The sequence below is a fragment of the Homo sapiens genome, chromosome 1, assembly GCF_000001405.40.
Source record: "Homo sapiens chromosome 1, GRCh38.p14 Primary Assembly".
NCBI classification, from domain to species: domain Eukaryota; kingdom Metazoa; phylum Chordata; class Mammalia; order Primates; family Hominidae; genus Homo; species Homo sapiens.
In genome coordinates, this window is record NC_000001.11 from 158,829,906 (window position 1) to 158,849,957 (window position 20,052).

The following is a 20,052-nucleotide window of genomic DNA, read 5'->3' on the forward strand; positions in this document are numbered from 1 at the left end:
CTTGCTCAGGGCAACTCCCATTTTTTAAAAACTATTTTAAAACGATCAGATCTCATGAGACCCATTTACTATCATGAGAACAGCATGGGAAAGATCTGCCCCCATAATTCATTCATCTTCCACCAGGTCCCTTCCACAACACGTGGGAATTATGGGAGCTACAAGATGGGATTTGGGTGGGAACACAGAGCCAAACCATATCAGGGCAGAAAGCTGTCCTGAAACATGGTAACTCCTGTCGTGAGCTCTTTTGGTTCCCAAACACTGAAGTGGGGCACCTGATAAGGTTTCCTTGTGTTCCTCTTTACCCTTTACCTTAAGACCTGCTCGAAGCATCAGCATAAGAGAGAAACTGAAACAATGAACACCCACATGTGTTAGTGGCTGTCATTCTAGATCCTCTTGGTTTTTTCTGATTTACCCTGCTTTAGTGGGGTTTAGACAGTTTCCAAATCCAAACTTTAACTCTCTCTATGCTGCTGGTTTGGATTAAGACAATCAGCTTTATTCTTCTCTGTAGATGGCCTTGGATCATTTTCCCCTATTAGCTGTTTTGGGATCCTTTTCCAGTCATGACCACATTTTGCTTACAGATCAGCTAGTTGGTAACCACAGCACTGTCTGCTAACTGATACCATTCATTTGACAATTCAGAGTTATGATACTTTGTAGTGCACCCACTGTTCTTCACAGGAAAAAAAAATTGCAGTACAAAGGGTTTATCAGGCCCCCTATCATTCCAGAGTTTCAGTGCTGTTCCAGAATGTTCAAGGTTTCAGTCATGATATGAACCAACTATCCATAAATAATGCAAAAAGCATGAGTAATCATGAATTTAATAATCAAGGTAAGGCAGCTCAGTTATTATACTCAAGAGAGCAACTAGTATGAAACTCTTTCAAATTATTTGAATAAGGATTTACATATTCATAATGACTTTCTGCCTCTGTCAAGCTCCAGGTGTATCAGTTATTAATAACTGGGTGAATATGTAGGTACTATTTAAACAAAAACAATTTCACAGTAGACCCACCCCTATCCAAGAGATGAAGTCAAGTTCTGGTAGCAATAGACATCTCTACCAAGATCTCCTGCTCCTGCCACTCTGTGAACAGGAAAGGAGGGAGAAACTTTGGTGTTTTGCCTTTCCCAATTTATATTAAGATCCTTATTCAAGCGGCTACCGGTTTCTAATGACCTATATGTAAGTTAGCTTTATAAGAAAGTTCTGAGTTTGAAACTCCTTTCAGCAAGTATTTGTAAGTCAAAAAAGCGAAGAAGAGGCACCATTTACTGTCATTTCTCCTTGTGACTGAGATTACTTACTACAAAGAGGAACTGACCACTTTCTCTGACATCTGAAATAGAAAGCTACAAAGGCTGATAGGCGTGGCTTCAAAATTGTTTCATGATTACATAACTTCTTTCTAGTTAGGAATTAGGACAGTGTAAGAAGGCCATCTACAATCAAGATTGAGAGTGGCTCTAACAAGTGCCATTTTTCCTTGTTAGCTTTCATTTCTCAGCCCTTTACAAGATTAAAATAGTCTGCAGTTTAATCTCTCCAAAGCTTTACGGACAGTGATTCTGTCCTAAACAAGACAGTGACTCCAGGATTTCTGAAGACTATTGTGGAAGAAGCATCCATTAAGGTGAGATTTCTGGGAAGTTCTTTAGAGAAAGATCTAGGTATCTAGTTGGTAACCACACCATCTCAGTAGAGAATAATTGCCTGAGACCAGAAGTGTTGTTATCAATCATATTCAGAAAACTGAGAACTGAATGCTTTAACTGTCTAGGTAGCAAATGGATATCTTTTATTCTACCACAATTGGGGTATGAACCAAAAAAATGTATTTTGTCTACAGCAGGTTTTAAAAATTAATTCTTGGGTGTCTTTTGGCATAAATTGATATTTAGAGGAGATACTTGGTTTTCTTGGCTGGAGGATGACTTGGTGACTGGGTTTGGGCCTAAGTTAAAAGACAAGACAGTCAGATAAGAAAATTATTATGAAGTAATATTTAGTAAAAAATAAACCAGGATATAAATCTCTATTATATGATTTTATCTCTATTTTAAAAAGCATAGACATGTGCACACATTAATTTCTCAATTTTACAAGCATTTACTCAAAAATAATCTTTACATTTTCATGAATCAGTTTCATTTTATGCTTCATTTTACAACAAGTGTAAGAAGAAATAATTCTCTTTTTCAAATGGTCTATGCTTTACTCAGTCATAGATAACATTTTTTGTGGCAAGGTATAATGAAAAGACAGGGAGAATCAATTATATATTTCCTACTTTGGGATACATTTTGACTTTTTTATGGCTTTGTACATATGAATGTTTTCTAATTACTCCATGAGTACTTGAGAAGAGTTTATAAACGTTGGATTCCAAATTCTATTTAAGTAAGATAAAGTTTCTTAAGTAAGCTTGTTAATTATGTTTGAAAAATCTAAATCTAAATCTAAGCTATTTTTTACCTTGTTCTTTCAGTAACTGAGAGATGTGGTGAAATCTCCAACTCTAATAGTGATTTTGTTAATTTCTCATTGTAGTTCTTTTGATTTCTACCATATATTTTTACATAGAATATGTATATCTAAGTATATATGTTATGTGTGTGTTTAGAGAGAAGAAAAAACTTCTATATGCTACTTTATAAAGTAATAACAGATTATATTTATAATATAATTTAAATTATTATATCTTTTTCCAAGTTGCATACTTTACCATTATGTAGTGAAACTATGTACTGATACTTATTGACTTAAGCCTATTTTAAGCTACACTATTTTTCCTAAAAAGTCTTTCTTTAAGTTAGAGTTTGAAGAATATAACTTTTCCAGCTCTTTCTCAAACTTAAGTGAACTTATGCTTTATTTGTACTTTGTCAACAACATATGACTGGATTTATTTTTAATCCAAATTGAAAATTTTTCCTCCTAGTTGATGAGTTTAGTCCAGATATGCAAATTCTATAAAGGTATATATTTTAACTTGGTTTTGCCATCTTACTTTGTTTCAATTTATAGCACTTATTCTGTGCTTTCTTCTTCTCCTTTCTTGTCAAGTTTCTTATTTTTAAAAAATCTATATTCTCCTTAAAGACAAGCCCCTTAGCAAACTCTCACATCTTCTGGTCCCCCAAACATACAACTTCACCTGTTAAGAGTATGTTCATATAGTTCCTGTTTTCTTTTATTTGACTCTGGCTTTACTTATTTTTAAGATAGTAAAAACACTAATTAAAGTATTTGCTTGATCTTTCTTCCCTTTTGGCCTCCAACATTTCTTAGATTTATTTCTTTTCATAATGAGTAGTTCTTCACAAAGAGCTGTGGGTATGGATATTTTCACTGCCAAGCTTCTGAAAGCTTTGAATATAATAATTGTTTTCTTTTAATTGTGTTAAGAAACATGTAACATAAAATGTGTCATCTTAATCAGCTTCAAGTGTACAGTTCAGTAGTATTAAATACATTCATATTGTTGTGCAACCAACCTCCAGAACGCCTTTGCATCTTGCAAAACTAAAACTCTAACCGTTAACCAACAATTTCACCATTCCCCTTTCCTCCAGAGCTTGGCAAACATCATTCTACCTTCTTTCCCCATAAATTTAAAAACTCTAACTCTTCATATATGTTTAATCATACAGTAAGCGTGTGCTTTTTGTGACTGGCTTTTTTCATTTCATGTTCTCAAAGTTCATTCATGTTGTATTGTATCATGTGTCAGAATATTCTTTCTTCCTAGGGTAGAATAATATTCCATTTCATGTATTTACCATAAAATACGTAAGAAACCATATTTCTTTTTATTCATTCATCCATTGAAGGACACTTGTAATACTTTCACATTTTTCTGTTGTGATTAATGCTGCAATGAACATATATGTACATGCATTTATTTGAGATCACACTTTCACTTATTTTGGGAATATATCTAGAAGTGAAATTACTGAATCATATGGTAATGTTATTTTTAATTTTAAGAGTAAGAATCATATTTTTTTCATAGCATCTGAACCATTTTACATTCCTACCAATGATGTACAAGGTTTCCCTTTTTTACTCATCCTCACCAACACTGGTTATTTTCTGTAGTTATTTTTTTGACAGTACCAAAAAACATCATCCTAGGAGCTCCGATGTTTTGTGCATGTATGTTTTTAATTGTTATATCTCATTGTGGTTTTTATGGGTTTGATTTGTATTTTTCTAAAGATTATTGCCGTTGAGCATACTCATATGTGCTTATTGGCCATTTGTATAGCACCTTTGAAGAAATGTCTATTCAAGTCCTTTATCAATTTTTTTTTTTTTTTTTTTGAGACGGAGTTTCGCCCTGTCGCCCAGGCTGGAGTGCAGTGGCGCGATCTCGACTCACTGCAAGCTCCGCCTCCCGGGTTCACGCCATTCTCCTGCCTCAGCCTCCCATGTAGCTGGGACTACAGACACGCGCCACCATGCCCGGCTAATTTTTGTATTTTTAGTAGAGAAGGGGTTTCACCGTGTTTATCAATTTTTATCACACTGTTTGGATTCTGTTGTTGTTGGAGTTGATTTGTAGGAGTTGGCTGTATATTCTGGATATAAAGCACTCATCAAATATATAAAGTGTGAATATTTTCTCTCATTCTCTAGGTTCCCTTTTTTACTCTGTTAATTGTGTCTTTGATGTATATAAAAATTAAATGTTGTTGTAGTCTAATTTATCTATTTTATTGTTGTTGTTGTTGCCTGTGCCATCGGTGTCATGTCCAAGAAACCCATTGCCAAATCCAATGTCATGGAGCCTTTCCCTTTTGTTTTATTCTGAGAGTTTCATAGTTTTAATTCCTACATTTAGATATTTGATATACTTTGAGTTACATTTTGTATATGATGTAGGTAAGGGTTCAACTTTTTGTATACAGATGTCACAATTGCCCAACAGCATTTTTGAAAAGACTGTTCTTTCTCATTAAACAGCCTTGACGTCCATGTCAAAAATCAATAAGCCATATTTCTCAGGGTTTATTTCTATGCTATCTATCATATTCCATTGTTCTTTATGTCTGTCTTTATGCCAATACCACACTGTTTTGATTATTGTGTCTTTATAACAAGTTTTGAAAGCAGGAAGTCTGAAACCTCCATGTTCTTGTTTTCAAGATTAAAAAAGGCTATTTAAAGTACCTTTAAATTCTACATGAATTTTAAGACAAATTTTTGTGTTCGTGTAAAAAACACTTCTGGGATTTTGCATTACAGATTACATTGCAAATTGCATTGCATATGCAGTTCCTTGGGTATTGACACCTTAACAGTATCAAGTCTTCTAACCCCTGGACACAGATGCCTTCCCATGTACATTTGTGCCTTCTTTAATTCCTTCAAAGTGTTGTATAATTTACCACCTTGATTAAGTTTATTCCTAAGTATTTTACTACTTTAAGCTATTGTATACAGAAAAAGAACTGTTTCCTTAATTTCCTTTTTGTTCGTTGTTAGCGTATAAAAACACAACTGATTTGTATGTGTTGCCTTTGATTCCTGTAACTTTGCTGGATTTGTTTATCAATTCTAAGTATTTACATAGAATCTTTGGGACTTTCCACATATAAGATCATATCACCAGTAAAGAGAGAGAATTTACCTTTTTTCTTTCTTATTTGGATATTTTATATTTTCTGTTTATTGCCTATTTTTGGTGGGGGCGGGGGGTGGGTGTTAAACCCTCAGTACTATCTCAAACAGAAGTGAACAAAAAAATCATCCTTGTCTTTTTCCTGATGTTTCAGGAGCAAGAGAAATGTTTTCAGTCTCTTACCATTGGGAATAATGTTAGCTATGGTGTTTTCGTATGTAGACTTTACTATGTTGAAGTAATTTTCTCCTATTCTTCGTTTACTGAGTGTTTCTAACATGAAAGGCTATTTAATTTTGTCAAATGCTTTATTTATTTTTTGCATCAATTGAGATGATCATTTTTTTTTTGTCTTTCATTCTGGTAATGTGGTGTATTATCTTAATTGATTTTTACAAGTGAAAAATGAGCATCTGTGTATTTTTCCTCATCTTTCAGGAATAAGAGAAATATTTTCAGTCTTTTACCATTAAGAGTGTTAATTGATTGTTGCATGGTGAGCCATCATTGCATTCCAGGGATAAACCTTAAATGGTCATGATGCATAAATAAATTTAACGTGCTATATAATTATGTTCGCTAGCATTTTGTAAAAAAAAAATGCATCGACATGCATAAGGGATATTGTTTAGAAAATTTTATTTTTCTAGTGCCTCTGTCTGGCTTTGCATTGGAGTAATGCTGAGTCATACAATGAGTTTGGAAGTGTTCCCTCCTTTTCAAATTTTGAAAGACTTTGAGGAATTTTGGTCTTAATTCTTCTTTATATATTTGGTAGAATTTACCAGTAAAACCACTTAGTCTGGACTTTTCTTTATTGAGAGGTTTTTGACTTCTGATTCAGTCTCCTGACTAGTCATAATGACTGTTCGGATTTTCTATTTCTTTATGATTCAAAATTTGCAGGTTGTATGTTTCTAATAATTTATCCATTTATCCATTTCATTTAGGTTATCCCACTTATTGATGTATAATTGTTCAAAGTATTCTCTTTATTTCTGTGAAATCTGTTGTAATGTTCTCTTTTTAGTTTCTGATTTTATTATTTGAGTCTCCTTCTTTTTCTTCTATGTCAATTCAGTTAAAGTTCTGTCAGTATTATTCACATTTTCAGAAAACCAACTCTTTTTTTTATTGATTTTCTTTATTATTTTTCTAATCTCAATTTTACCTCTAATTTTTATTTTTTCCTTCCTTTTGATGGCTTTTGGTTTAGTTTGTTCTACTTTTTTAAGTTCCTTATGGTGTAAAGTCAGATTATTGATTTGAGAGTCTTCTTTGTAAATGTAGTTGTTTAAATCTGTAAATTACCCTCATCACCATATTCTTTGCATTTAATGAAATGATATGTTGTGTTTCTATATAATTTCTCTAAATATGGATTTAAATTTGACTTGTGATTCTTTGTACATGTTTCATTGTTTGTGTTGTTTATTTTCACAGGGTCATGAATTTTCTAGTTTTCTTTCTGTTGATTTCTACTTTTATTCCATTATGATAAAAAAATATACTCTGTATGATTTCAAACGTTTAACATTTATTAACACTTGTTTGGCATCCTAATTTGTGGTATATGTTGGGACAATGTTCCATATGTTCGTGTGAAAAATGTGTATTCTACTGTTGTTGGCTTTACTGTTTTGGATATATCTGTTAGATATAATTGGTCTATAAGTGGTCTATAATGTTTTTCAATATTTATTTTTTCCAAATTTTCTTCTGTCAGATTGTTCTACCTATTATTGAAAGTGGAACATTAAAGTCTCTTACTATTACCTTAGAGTTGTCTATTTCTCCCTTCAATTCTGTAAATGTTTCATATATTAGGAGCCCTGATGTTTTGTGCATGTATGTTTCTAATTGTCATATCTTCTAGGTGAACTGGCCTTTTTAACACTATGTAATATTCTTTGTCTCTTATAACACTTTTTGACTGTTATTTTTATTTTATCTGATCCTAGTATAGCAAACTCTGCTCTCTTATTTAATATTTCAATGGAATATCTCTTTTATTCCTTCACTTTCTATCTTTGTCCTTACATCTGTAAAATGAGCCTCTTGTATGCAACATATACTTGGATCCCCTGTTTTTAAATTCATTGTGATATATATGTATATATAATTTTAATATGCTTTTTGATTAGTAAGTTTAAACCATTTACATTTGAACTAATTATTGATAAGGAAGAACTTAGAACTTATTGTTGCCATTTTTTATTTGTTTTCTGTATGTCTTAATAGGTTTTTGTCTCTTAGTGACTTCTTTTTGTTGATTTTTTTCTGTAGTGAAACATTTTTATGTTCTTCTATTCCTTTGTGTACATCCTACAGATATCTCTGTGGTCATCATCAGGTTGCATATGATATTCTAAAGTTATAGCAATCTATTTTTAACTAATAACAACTTAACTTCAATCATATGCAAAATGTTTACTCCTTTACAGCTCCCCAACACATATTTTATGTTAATATTACAAATTGCATTTATATAATATGTACCAATTAACATTGATTTATAAATTGTTTTGCTTTCACATTTTAAATCCTATAAAATAATAAAAAATGATTACAAATCAAAATAGCAAAAGTCATGTTTCATGTTTATGTATATACTTACCTTTCATCAAGAACTTACATTTTTGTATGAGTTTGAGTTACCATCTAGCATCCTTGTGTTTCAGCTTGAAGAAATCTCTTTAGTATTTCTTTTAAGGTAGATATAGTGGTAATGAAATCCTTCAGCTTATGTTTATCTGGGAATGTCTTAATTTCTCTCATTTATGAATAGCAGGTTTCCCAGATATAGCATTTTTGATGGACAGACTTTTCTTTAAACACTTGAAATGTATTGTCCCACTACCTTCTGGTCTACAAAGTATTTGCTGAAAAATGTGCTCATAATCCTATTGAAGATTTCTTGGATATAATGAGTTGCCTTTTTCTTGCGCTTTTTAAATGATTTTCTTTTCGTCTTTGAGTGTTGGTAATTTGATAATAATGTGTCATAGTGTAAGTTTCTTTGAGTTTATCATAGTTGCAGCTTGTTTGGTTTCTTATATCTGTACATTTAGTCTTTTCTCAAATTTGGAAAGTTTTCAGTCCTTATTTACTCAATAATTTTGTTATTCCTTTCTCTTTTCCATCACCTTTTCAGACTTACATAATGCATATATTGTCCCACTTGATGAACTTTATAAGTTCTGTTCACTTTCCTTTATATCTTTTAAAAAAGTTTGTTCTTCAGCCTTGATAATTACACATGACCTGTCTAAAAGCTAACTGATTCTTCTGCCTATTGGTGTGGGCTGAGGAACCCCTCTAGTGGATTTTACAATGCAGTCAATGTGTTTTTCAGCTTCAGAATTTATGGAATTTTTTCTGGTAATTTCTATTTTTTGTCTATTCTCATTTTTTATTAATCATTTTCCTGATTTTATTTAGTTGTCTCTACCTATTTTCCTTTAACTCATTTATCATATTTAAGAGTGCTGTTTTAGTCTTTGACAAGAAAGTCTGAGGGCTGTGTTTCTTTAGAGAAAGTTTGTGGAGATTCATTTTTTTCTTTAAAATTGACCATGTTTACCTGTTTCTTTGTATACCTTTTGTTGAAAACTGGACATTTGTAAAAACAGCCCCCTCTCAACCATTGTTAACTGGCACCATATTCAGGGGAGGACTTTCACTCTTCAGCTAAGTATGAAATATAAACGTTCTCTGAGGCCTATATGGACGTGTGTCTTGCCTGGGCTTATGTGTGTGCATTTTTTGTAATTCTCTCATATACACACTGCTTTTAATCTGTAATTTCCCTAAGAGCCACACCTGCCTCTTTTCATGACCTTAGATGTTCTACTGTATTCCTCTATCCATAATCTCTTGCCTTCTGGCACCCAGGGAGTAGCAGATCCCATGAAGCTCTCACAAGCTGGAGCACCCACCACTACTTTTTGCAGCCTCAAATCTGACATTTAAACTATGCCACCATTTCCATCAATGCTCCAAGTCATGTGAAGCAGTTACTAGTCCCTCAAGGAACCTACAGAGAAGCTATAATGTTGCAAAGCAGTTCCACACTTTTCCTTCTATTCCAAAGGAAGAATGAGGAATTAGGAAGTTTCCTCCTGATCACGTCACACCATTCAAGGGAGAAAGTTAAACAGGGACAAAGAAAAACACCTAGAAGTTTTCCACTATTTTGAATGTGGCTTAATCTTGGTTTGGAATTTCCTTTGTTGCAACCAATTCTTAACAGCTGAAAACATTAGTTTGGTTCATAAATTGTTCTTTATTTGGTGTTTCCATGGTATAATGAAAGTCTGGAACGTCCTTGTCTGCAATCTTGCTAATGTCACTCTCAGTGAGAAGAGAACAATTTTTTAAACCATAACATTCAAATAACATTTTGACCAGATACAAAATTTTAGTTTGAAAAATATTTTTGCTTGAAAACTGATTCACAGCACTTCACCTGAAACCCCTGGGACAACTCTGATTTTTAATTCATTTTTTTAGGGGGGGATTTTAGAAAGACTACTTAATGCATACATTGTATGTAGGCACTGCAAGTGTCCCAGTAGAGGTAATATCAACATCCTAATATCAAATGCATTAAGAGTTCTTCAACAAATCATGCCACTATTCACATTAAAGTGAGATGAATAAGGAAGATTAAAAATAGCCACTGTATTAGTTCCTTCTCACGCTGCTATGAAGAAATACCTGAGACTGGGTAATTTATAAAGAAAAGAGATTTGATTTACTCACAGTTCCGCACGGCTGGGGAGTCCTAAGGAAACTTACAATCATGATGGAAGGCACCTCTTCACAGGGTGGCAGGAGAGAGAATGAGTGCTAGCAGGGGAAATGCCTGATGTTTATAAAACCATAGATCTCATGAGAACTTGCTCACTATCACAAGATGATATTTCAAGATGAGATTTGGGTTGGGACATAGCCAAACCATATCAGCCACGTATTACTTCACATTATATCTCTAATTTGCAAGATGATTTTGCTACCACACTTCCCTGCTAACTCTCATCCCTTCCCAAGCCCCCAAACCGCACAAATCTTTTCATCCTTCAGTATCTTCTTAGGTTTTAAAATTGCAGACATATAATTATGGATCAGTACTATGTAAAAATTACTTTCTTAACCTGCTGCAGACTGTTCAATCAGATTATTTAATCTTTGTAGGTGTTCTACTCAGTATTTCTGGAAGATTTTATCATTTTGCTTTTAATATTCTTTGGCTTTACTATATGTGCCCATGTGTGAAATTTCTCTTTATCTGATAGGTTTAAACACAGGAACACTCATGTTCTCCCAAAAGAGAACAATTTACAGCCCTAAGAATTTGGACACTCTAATTATATAAAAGTTGCACAAACACATGGTCACCAACCTAAAGGAATACCTATAAATTTAAACAGAAAATTGGAATATACGTTAGGAACTGAATGCCCTTAGGTAGTACACAAGGGGTTAAAGAGGCACACATAAGTGAGAGTGGGACCACAACAGCTCGCAGAAGATAAAGCCTCAATTAAGCATTAAAAACTCTAAGGAAGTATTCAGAGGAAGAAAACTGGGAATGCTTTCCCAGATAGCAGGAAGGGAATTAGCAGTAAGAAGACCTGAAAAAGAAAGACATATTGTGTATTTCTAGAGCATAAGGTATAAGAAATTCAAAAGTAACAGACACACACAAAAAGAAAGATACAGTTTATGCAAGGCCTTTCAAGTCATGCTGAGTAGAAATCTATACTAATAAAAATCAAAACTCATTGAAGGATTTCAGGAAAAATAGAGTCATGTCTTTATCCATAAAGAAACCTACTTGGTTGTCTGACAGAAACCTTTTAGTAAAAGTAAGACTAGTTGGAGGTAAATAATTGACTGTAAAAAACAAATGTGCAAAAAATAAATGCTGCAATTCCACACTAGAGAGCAGATAGGAGGATGGCAAAATGACAATTTTATAGATGCATAGGACACAGAGAACAAGTTCTAAGCCCCAGGGAGAAAAAGTGCTAACGAGAGCTGATTAGGGAGAGCCAAGAAGGACTAGAGTCCATTCCACAACTCAGAACTGTAGTGCTGTGGCAGAAGGTTATTCACATAAGGTGAGTGGCTGCAGCCCATTTATACTTAGGCCACTTTGGTCATAGTGGATGACCAGGAAGAATCAGGGAAGAATCAGGGAAGAATCAGGAACCAAGAGGTAGGCATTGAGGGATAGGCTCAGGCCCCAATAAAATATCAGAAGAGGAACCAGGGACTTTGACACCACAAAACCCATACTATAAATACTGCAACAATTACCTGTTTCCAAACATCATTTCACCACATACACCTCTGTCCCAACTTATCAACATTAAAAGGGAAGAACTTCACTGAACCTCCTAATAAAGCAAGTCTTGATCCATTGTTCACAGTGACATATCTGGTAACTTAGTCCCTTTTTCTTATACGCATCCAAGGACAACATTTTGGCCTGGGACACTCACTCACAAAAGCATATCTCATTTTTTAAAATTGTCTGCATAAATGTGTAATGTTGTGTGTCATTTTTACTTTATAGGCCAAGCTATAACATCAGAAATGGTGAATGAATACAAGAAAATTCTTTTGCTGAAAGGATTTGAGCTCATGGATGATTATCATTTTACATCAATTAAGTCCTTACTGGCCTATGATTTAGGACTAACTACAAAAATGCAAGAGGAATACAACAGAATTAAGATTACAGATTTGATGGAAAAAAAGTTCCAAGGCGTTGCCTGTCTAGACAAACTAATAGAACTTGCCAAAGATATGCCATCACTTAAAAACCTTGTTAACAATCTTCGAAAAGAGAAGTCAAAAGGTAATAGAGAAAACCTTGCACATAGCTACTCTGCCTTGAGTCTCCCCAGTCTTCAGTAGAACCCCACCTTGGTCATAGCTGGTACATCCCTTTTCCAATTTATAACTCAGCAGTCATGGGGATGTTGGCACCTCAGAGACTGACCAGTTGGCAATTTAGAACATTCTGTTTCATATGAAAGAGATTGATATATTTAGAAGAATGTATTTGAGGTAAGGATAAAAAACCAAAGACAGGGATTTATGAGACGGTGAGTGTTTCAGTAAATCAAAAATGTCAGAAAATGAAAAAAAAAGCTACTTTAAAAAATGTGTTTTATTTGAAATATTTATATTTAACCAATTTATGCAGCAATAGTTCTATTAAGAGACGTGTAGAATTTTTCCACTTAATAAATCACTGTTCTTTTTTTAATTCAAAAGCCAATATTAGCACTTTGCCACATTACAATTCAGATCATATTTCCTTTCAGGTCATATTTCTGTCATTTGAACAGATATTGCACAGAACATGACCAGCCTGTCAGCATCATGAAAGCCTTAGATATTTAAAAGAAATGGTAGGAGAACAAGACTGAGAAAGGGTTGATTGAGGCACATGGAGTTCACAGGAAAGGAAGCATGTTCTCACTGCAAAGGGGAGGAGTGAGTAAAGCACTGAGGAGAATGAGACAGTGCCTATGCCTACCATGCTGCTGTTGGCCTCCTAGGAGCCAGGCTGGGTTAATGCAGTAGAGGTAACAGGCAAATCCGAACTCTCATGCAGGAGCTGACAGCAGGTAATATTGAAACTGCCTCAGCTGTCTTAGATAAGCTATTCCACTCTAGGCCTATTGTGCCCTTTTTCTTTTCTTTTGTCAGTTGCTAAGAAAATTAAAACACAAGAAAAAGCTCCAGTGAAAAAAATAAACCAGGAAGAAGTGGGTCTTGCGGCACCTGCACCCACCGCAAGAAACAAACTGACATCGGAAGCAAGAGGGAGGATTCCTGTAGCTCAGGTAAGCTTGAGAAAGAGGAGCAGGACTGAAGCCTCACAGAAGATACTCTGCTATGGCACGTGGCTCTTTACTAATATCTCAACACAGCTTAGATTTACCAAATTAGTAATTATGGATCTTCTTTGTGATGAGTAAAGAGTTAGGTATCGTAAAAATGTAATAAAAAATTTCTGTGACATAAATATATTATCATCTCCATTATAAAAATGGGGTAATAATCATATTGGATATACATCTTGCCCATCCTTACACAAATCTAGATTTTCTCATTCCAAGTCCAGTGCTCTTCTCATCACACCACAGTGGTGATAACAGTAATGCATCTGTTGAAATCATCCATCTCCTTTTTAGTGCAACAATCTATGCCCAATATTATCTATTGTCCATATCTTCAAGTGACAGATTGTAATTCCCTGGGGTTTCCAAGGACATCCCATCCAACATAAATAGAACTTACTATGTTGTAATGAAAAAATGAAAACTTGCTCTGCTTCTTTTGATACTAAACTCCATTAACAGGAAAATTAAACTACTTTCAGAAAAGAAAAACTCCAAACAAAGAAAAGACTGAAGCCAAAAGGAATAAGGTGTCCCAAGAGCAGAGTAAGCCCCCAGGTCCCTCAGGAGCCAGCACATCTGCAGCTGTGGATCATCCCCCACTACCCCAGACCTCATCATCAACTCCATCCAACACTTCGTTTACTCCGGTACACTCTTCCTGGTCCTCTTCTCCATTTTTTTTTAACCCAGTCACAGTGCATTCCACTGTTACTATTGTTACTCTCATGCATAACTCTTCATATTACTGATTTGCTGTGGGAAAACTGTTTTCCATATTATGATAACTTGTTTACATTGGTGAGAAGCCACATGCAAGTAAAGTCCAATTACCTACAGGTAATCACTGTGTGTAAAACACCAGGACAGACCACTAAGCATTTCTGGTCTGTGCAGGTAAGTAGCCTGGCTCCTAGTACCAGTACATACAAGCCCATGGCTCATCTTTGCTCCCCACACTTCCTATTACAGATCTGCCAACGTTCTCTTCAGAAAAGTATTCTGCTGCAACTCAAATAGGCCAGGACACTGTGGAGAGAGGACATACGAGATAAACAAACTTGTCCTTTTTCCATTGTTGTTAGCATTTTAGCCACTGTGAAATGCTGTGTATACACAGTCGAGGACATAGCTCTAACCAGAAATCCTCTACCTGAGACTACTTACATGCTAGCCAGGCCAAGTCTTTCCACTTGTAAAAGCACTGTTTCTTGGGAAGAAACAAACGAGTTTGGCCCTCAAAATGGCAGAGTACACTAGTGATCATTAGAATTTCTAATGAATGTTTGATCATTAGAACATCTAATGATGTTTGAGGCTTCTGGTGGGCATGGTTCTTCATTTTTAATGCTGTCCAAGTTGTTTTCACTTTGTTGATTGTCTTTGATAATTTCAGTAGGTAGAGGAGATATTTGGATTTGTTATTATATTCTAATCTTTCTTTAAAGTTTCTTCACAACAATGTTTTCATCATCTGCTACTCTAGATTGTTCATGCAGAAGATCATGCTTTGCTTCAGGAAGATTATTCTGAGTCAATGAGGGTGATTTAATTTCCAAGCCTGTTGTCTGTTACCTTAGGCTTTCAGTAGCTAAACTTTACCAGCTCATGTGCCTTTCCTTTCTGTTCAGTAATCCCTGTCTAGCCTAGCCCCCAGCTCCAAATATCTGTGAAAGTTGTTGGGTCGAAAGCTCTGCAGAGTCACTCGTGCAGAGTGACTTTGTATTCCTGCTCAAAGTTTTTGTTGTTGTTTGTTTGTTTGTTTGTTTGTTTGTTTGTTTTTGAGACGGAGTCTCGCTCTATCGCCCAGGCTGGAGTGCAGTGGTGCGATCTGGTCTCACTGCAAGCTCCGCCTCCCAGGTTCATGCCATTCTGCTGCCTCAGCCTCCCGAGTAGCTGGGACTACAGACGCCCGCTACAACGCCCGGCTAGTTTTTTTTGTATTTTTAGTAGAGATGGGGGTTTCACCATGTTAGCCAGGATGGTCTCGATCTTCTGACCTCGTGATCCACCCGCCTCGGCTTCCCAAAGTGCTAGGATTACAGGCGTGAGCCACCGCGCCCGGCCTCCTGCTCAAAGTTTTAAGTTTATTTTCTTGTGTCTGCCCAACACAGAATCAGGAAACCCAGGCCCAACGGCAGGTGGATGCAAGAAGAAATGTTCCCCAAAACGACCCAGTGACAGTGGTGGTACTGAAAGCAACAGCGCCATTTAAATACGAGTCCCCAGAAAATGGGAAAAGCACAATGTTTCATGCTACAGTGGCCAGTAAGACTCAATATTTCCATGTGAAAGTCTTCGACATCAACTTGAAAGAGAAATTTGTAAGGAAGAAGGTCATTACCATATCTGATTACTCTGAATGTAAAGGAGTAATGGAAATAAAGGAAGCATCATCTGTGTCTGACTTTAATCAAAATTTTGAGGTCCCAAACAGAATTATCGAAATAGCAAATAAAACTCCCAAGATCAGTCAACTTTACAAGCAAGCATCTGGAACAATGGTGTATGGGTTGTTTATGTTACAAAAGGTAAACCCTTAATTTTGTTTTAATTTTCTCTACCATTACCTGGAAATAAATGTCTTAATTTGCCAGACTTACTGTCTGAATATTGGAACACAAGAATTTATATTGACTAGAGATAGTGATGAAGTTGTCCCACAAAATAGGAAATAGGACTAAGTGACCTATTAACTTTCTTACGCCAAAATAAATGTAGGGACTTTGAAAAAAAGTTAGTAAGAAATATTGGCAGTAATGATCTGTTGTCAGCCACAATGAACTAGGACAATACAGGGTCCAAATCAACGGGAGCAAGCTAATAACATCATCTCTTTCAGCTCCATCCCAATGAGCACTGATAATTTTACTGTGAGTTTTGATAAATTTATTTTAAGTAATGAATTGTGCTACCAAGGTTGAATTCTGGTTGTGACATAATTTTGGAGTAATAAGTGGATTGGCTGGTATGCTCATAAATGCAAATACATTCAACAGCTATCCATACAATCTAAACATTTGTGCTTAGATCAGTTGCCCTTCTATCTTATTTATTTATTCATTTATTTATGAAGATAGCATTGAACAACTGAGAAATATTGAATTCCATGATACTTAAAGGATAAGGCAATCTCTTCATACTATTTACAAAAAAAAAATAATTCCAAGGCACAGAGTTTTATTGATATGTCCATGTCCAAATTCAAGATGCTAGTTAGGATAATGCATTCCATCCCTTTCTCCACTCTAAAACATTACACATTTCTATGAACTCAACTAACATTTTATATGATTGACTGCTTTATAACCCTACATACATGTCTTTCAATATAGCCCCTTAAATTTACCTCCACATTTTCTCACACTCTCTTTAAGAGATCTTGCTTATAAATGCAATTACAGAATTGATGAGTAATAGCTTAAGTGTGTGAAACACTACAGAGTATGAATGGAGGGAGTTAGGTCAATGGGGACAAGATATTGGAAAAGAATAAGTAATGAGGAAGGCTGAGAAAGAATGAATGATTGTGTTATAGAAGATTTTTCCTTTAAAATTTCTCATAATCTGAAGTAACTCAGGAGTGGAAAACCAAATATTGTATGTTCTCACTTGTAAGGAGGAGCTAAGCTATGAGTACACAAAGGCATACAGAGTGATCTAATAAACTTTCAAGACTCAGAAGCGGGAGGCTGGGAGGGAGGTGAGGGATACAAAACTATATATTGGGTACAATGTACACTACTTGGGTAATGGCTGCCCTAAAATCTCAGAATTCACCGCCATATAATTAATCCATGTAACCCAAAACCATTTGTACCCCAAAAGCTATTGAAATTTTTAAAAATTAAAATAATAATAAAGTGAAATTCCTCATAATCTACTGAATGAATAATTGTAGAAAGCATACATTTGTTTTTCCACAGGACCATGAGCCAAGAAGTTCTATAGGAATTTTTGATTCCTCTATATCTAGGTGCTTTATTTACTCTCAGCTGATCTGAAGGTGGTAGCAGGAGAAAAAGAGGGAAATATTTATTGTTGTATAATTGCAGAAAGAAAAATACCTTAAGCAGGAAAAAAAAATGCTGGATAATAAAAGATGGACCCTGTGAGATGGCAGGCCAAGCCACATGTATGATCTGTACCTGTCATTCCTGTCGTGCATATTGCATTAACTTTGTCATGAGACTCTTTCTCATCTATATGATACTAACAATCCTCTCAGAAACAGGATGTTAATCTTCTTTTGCAGAAAAGCGTACACAAGAAGAACACAATTTATGAAATACAGGATAATACAGGATCCATGGATGTAGTGGGGAGTGGAAAATGGCACAATATCAAGTGTGAGAAAGGAGATAAACTTCGACTCTTCTGCCTTCAACTGAGAACAGTTGACCGCAAGCTGAAACTGGTGTGTGGAAGTCACAGCTTCATCAAGGTGGGAACTGGATAGAGGAGAATGAGTTTGCTAAAGAGGCAAATAATTTTGCTTAGGCTTTGGGAACACCAGGTTCCTCATGTATTACTCAGAGAGTCCAGCGAGTGGAAGGAGAACCTAAACAATGCCCTTGCATTTGTAACTGGAAGATTTTCAGAAGGATATTAAGGTAAAGGCATTCATACAGCTCTAGAAAGGATACAATACTAGTGTTAATTGATTTAAAGATGTGTCTAGCGGCAGGGAACATAGGGCTCAAGAGCAAGGGTTCTGAATAAGACAGATCTGATTTGAATCCTGGATTTAAGAAGCACTAGTTGGCTGATATTGGGGAAACAGTTTCATTGGTCCTCTAAAATAATGGAAGTCTCCACTTCATTGGGATGGTTTAAACATTCAGACAATGTATACATATTAATTATCTCACAACCTGGCACATCATAATAAACTGATCTGTGGTAGATAGTTTTATTTTTAGGAAGGTAAAAATTGGAGGGACTTTTAGGCAAAGGAAATGATACATGAAAATTCCAAAAGTGTGACATAGCGTAATGAGTTCTGTACAACTGAAATTCAGTAGATGCAGAAGACTGTGGGACCCAAAGATTAAAAAAAAGGGACTACTGAGGCCCAAAGATGAAAAAGAAATAGAAGTGTGGCTTTTTCAAAAGTAAATTAATGGAAACTTTATTGTTGAAAATACATGAAAAATTGAAACAAAATTATGCAGAAGAATGCCTGATCACTTTGATATTTTAGCAAAAAATATTCCGGTGTCTATCTATGGAGTTGCATTACAGAGCAATTAGGCTTGGGGCAGAGATATCTATTAGAAGTTGTGTGCTGGATTCACTCATATCCTTACTGAAGAGAGCTTACTGTTGGAAATTCAGGAATTATATGCACTGCTTGCTAAACATGTGGTAGTTTGAAATCAGCCATGTGAAAATATGTATGCCACCAGACTCTGCAAATGTTACAAATCGAAACTTTTAAAAAAAAATGGGTAGTTGGTTAACCAGGATACCACAGAAGTTTATTTCAAAAATCCATTCAGGAAGGAAAAAGACAAACAGAGATTAGTTAATGGGGGGAAAATGAGTTTTTTGAAGGTAGATCTTCATAACTTTGTGACTAACGAGCTTTCATAGGGGATAAGGAGAATAATGTAGCCAATGGGAAGAAAAGATATGGCAGGTGAAAGGAGAACTATAAGCAGAGCTTCATTTCAATATCTAGGGTCTCATTATGTCTTTCTTATCTCTCTTTAAAGGTCATCAAGGCCAAGAAAAACAAGGAAGGACCAATGAATGTTAATTGAAATATGAAAGCTGAAATGCAACAAACAACTTCCGCTTAAAACAATTAAGTTGTTAATAACTGTGATTTTGTAAATTTCAGTAATTCATTTAAATGATGTTTCAGTAGATATATTCTAGCATATTAAGAGCTTTTATAACTGAGTTATAGATTAGTTTGCTTTCTGGAATAAAATTTTCTTCTTATACTCTTCCTTTTTTTTAGATATTACATTTTGCTTTTATGACATTCACGAGGCAAAAAATAAAATATCTTTTTTTGAAGGACATTATTTTCCCAAAGTCTTGTCTACGTTCTGTTAAGATCAATAGTGAGCTGCTTGAGGCTGAGTACTTTGTGCATTGTGAAGCACATTCTAGAGATGGGGAGAGACACATGGGGCCTTATCCACATTGGAGTCTATATTGTGATCTTCAGAGGATAAGTCCGCAGTAAAGGCTGTGACTAAATTTATGTAGCCCATGCTTAAATGAACAAATACTGTGGCCTAGGGAAGTAGCAGATCTAGAGGAAAGGATTCCTTTATGCAACTGTGTCCTCCAGAAGGGGGCCGTTGGGGTAATTGGTTTCTCTGAAGGGGACAACAACGGTGATTTGCATAAAGGTACCAATATATGCAAGATGCTTTCCCCTCCTTATTTGGTGTGGATTATCATATCCATCATATTCCATTTTTCTGACTTGTAGATACATCTACATATGTATTCAAAATCAGAGCAAC

General features: G+C 35.2%; 2 protein-coding genes across 2 annotated transcripts in view; one reads left to right on the forward strand and one right to left on the reverse strand.

The window, feature by feature from the left end:
* The window catches only part of OR6N1 (olfactory receptor family 6 subfamily N member 1), a 76,161-nt gene extending 65,670 nt beyond the window's left edge, over positions 1–10,491 (reverse strand). Inside the window, exon 1 of the mRNA XM_017000325.2 lies at positions 10,410–10,491. The gene's annotated coding sequence lies outside the window, so the exon portion shown is untranslated. The remainder of the gene's footprint in view (positions 1–10,409) is intronic.
* On the forward strand, positions 1,446–19,597 carry MNDA (myeloid cell nuclear differentiation antigen). Its single transcript, NM_002432.3, has 7 exons — positions 1,446–1,652; positions 12,229–12,513; positions 13,374–13,510; positions 14,050–14,217; positions 15,682–16,098; positions 17,823–18,011; positions 19,285–19,597. The coding sequence occupies exons 2-7, from the start codon at positions 12,249–12,251 to the stop codon at positions 19,330–19,332; spliced, it is 1,224 nt and encodes a 407-aa protein (NP_002423.1). The 5' UTR covers positions 1,446–1,652; positions 12,229–12,248; the 3' UTR covers positions 19,333–19,597.
* The last annotated feature ends 455 nt before the right edge of the window (positions 19,598–20,052 follow it).

Bases quoted from the DNA above. Each gene is read 5' to 3' on its own strand.
- MNDA (NM_002432.3), top strand. From the start codon at position 12,249: ATGGTGAATGAATACAAGAAAATTCTTTTGCTGAAAGGATTTGAGCTC. The intron at 12,514-13,373 runs GTAATAGAGAAA...TTCTTTTGTCAG, and splicing joins TCGAAAAGAGAAGTCAAAAG to TTGCTAAGAAAATTAAAACA. The intron at 16,099-17,822 runs GTAAACCCTTAA...CTTCTTTTGCAG, and splicing joins GGTTGTTTATGTTACAAAAG to AAAAGCGTACACAAGAAGAA.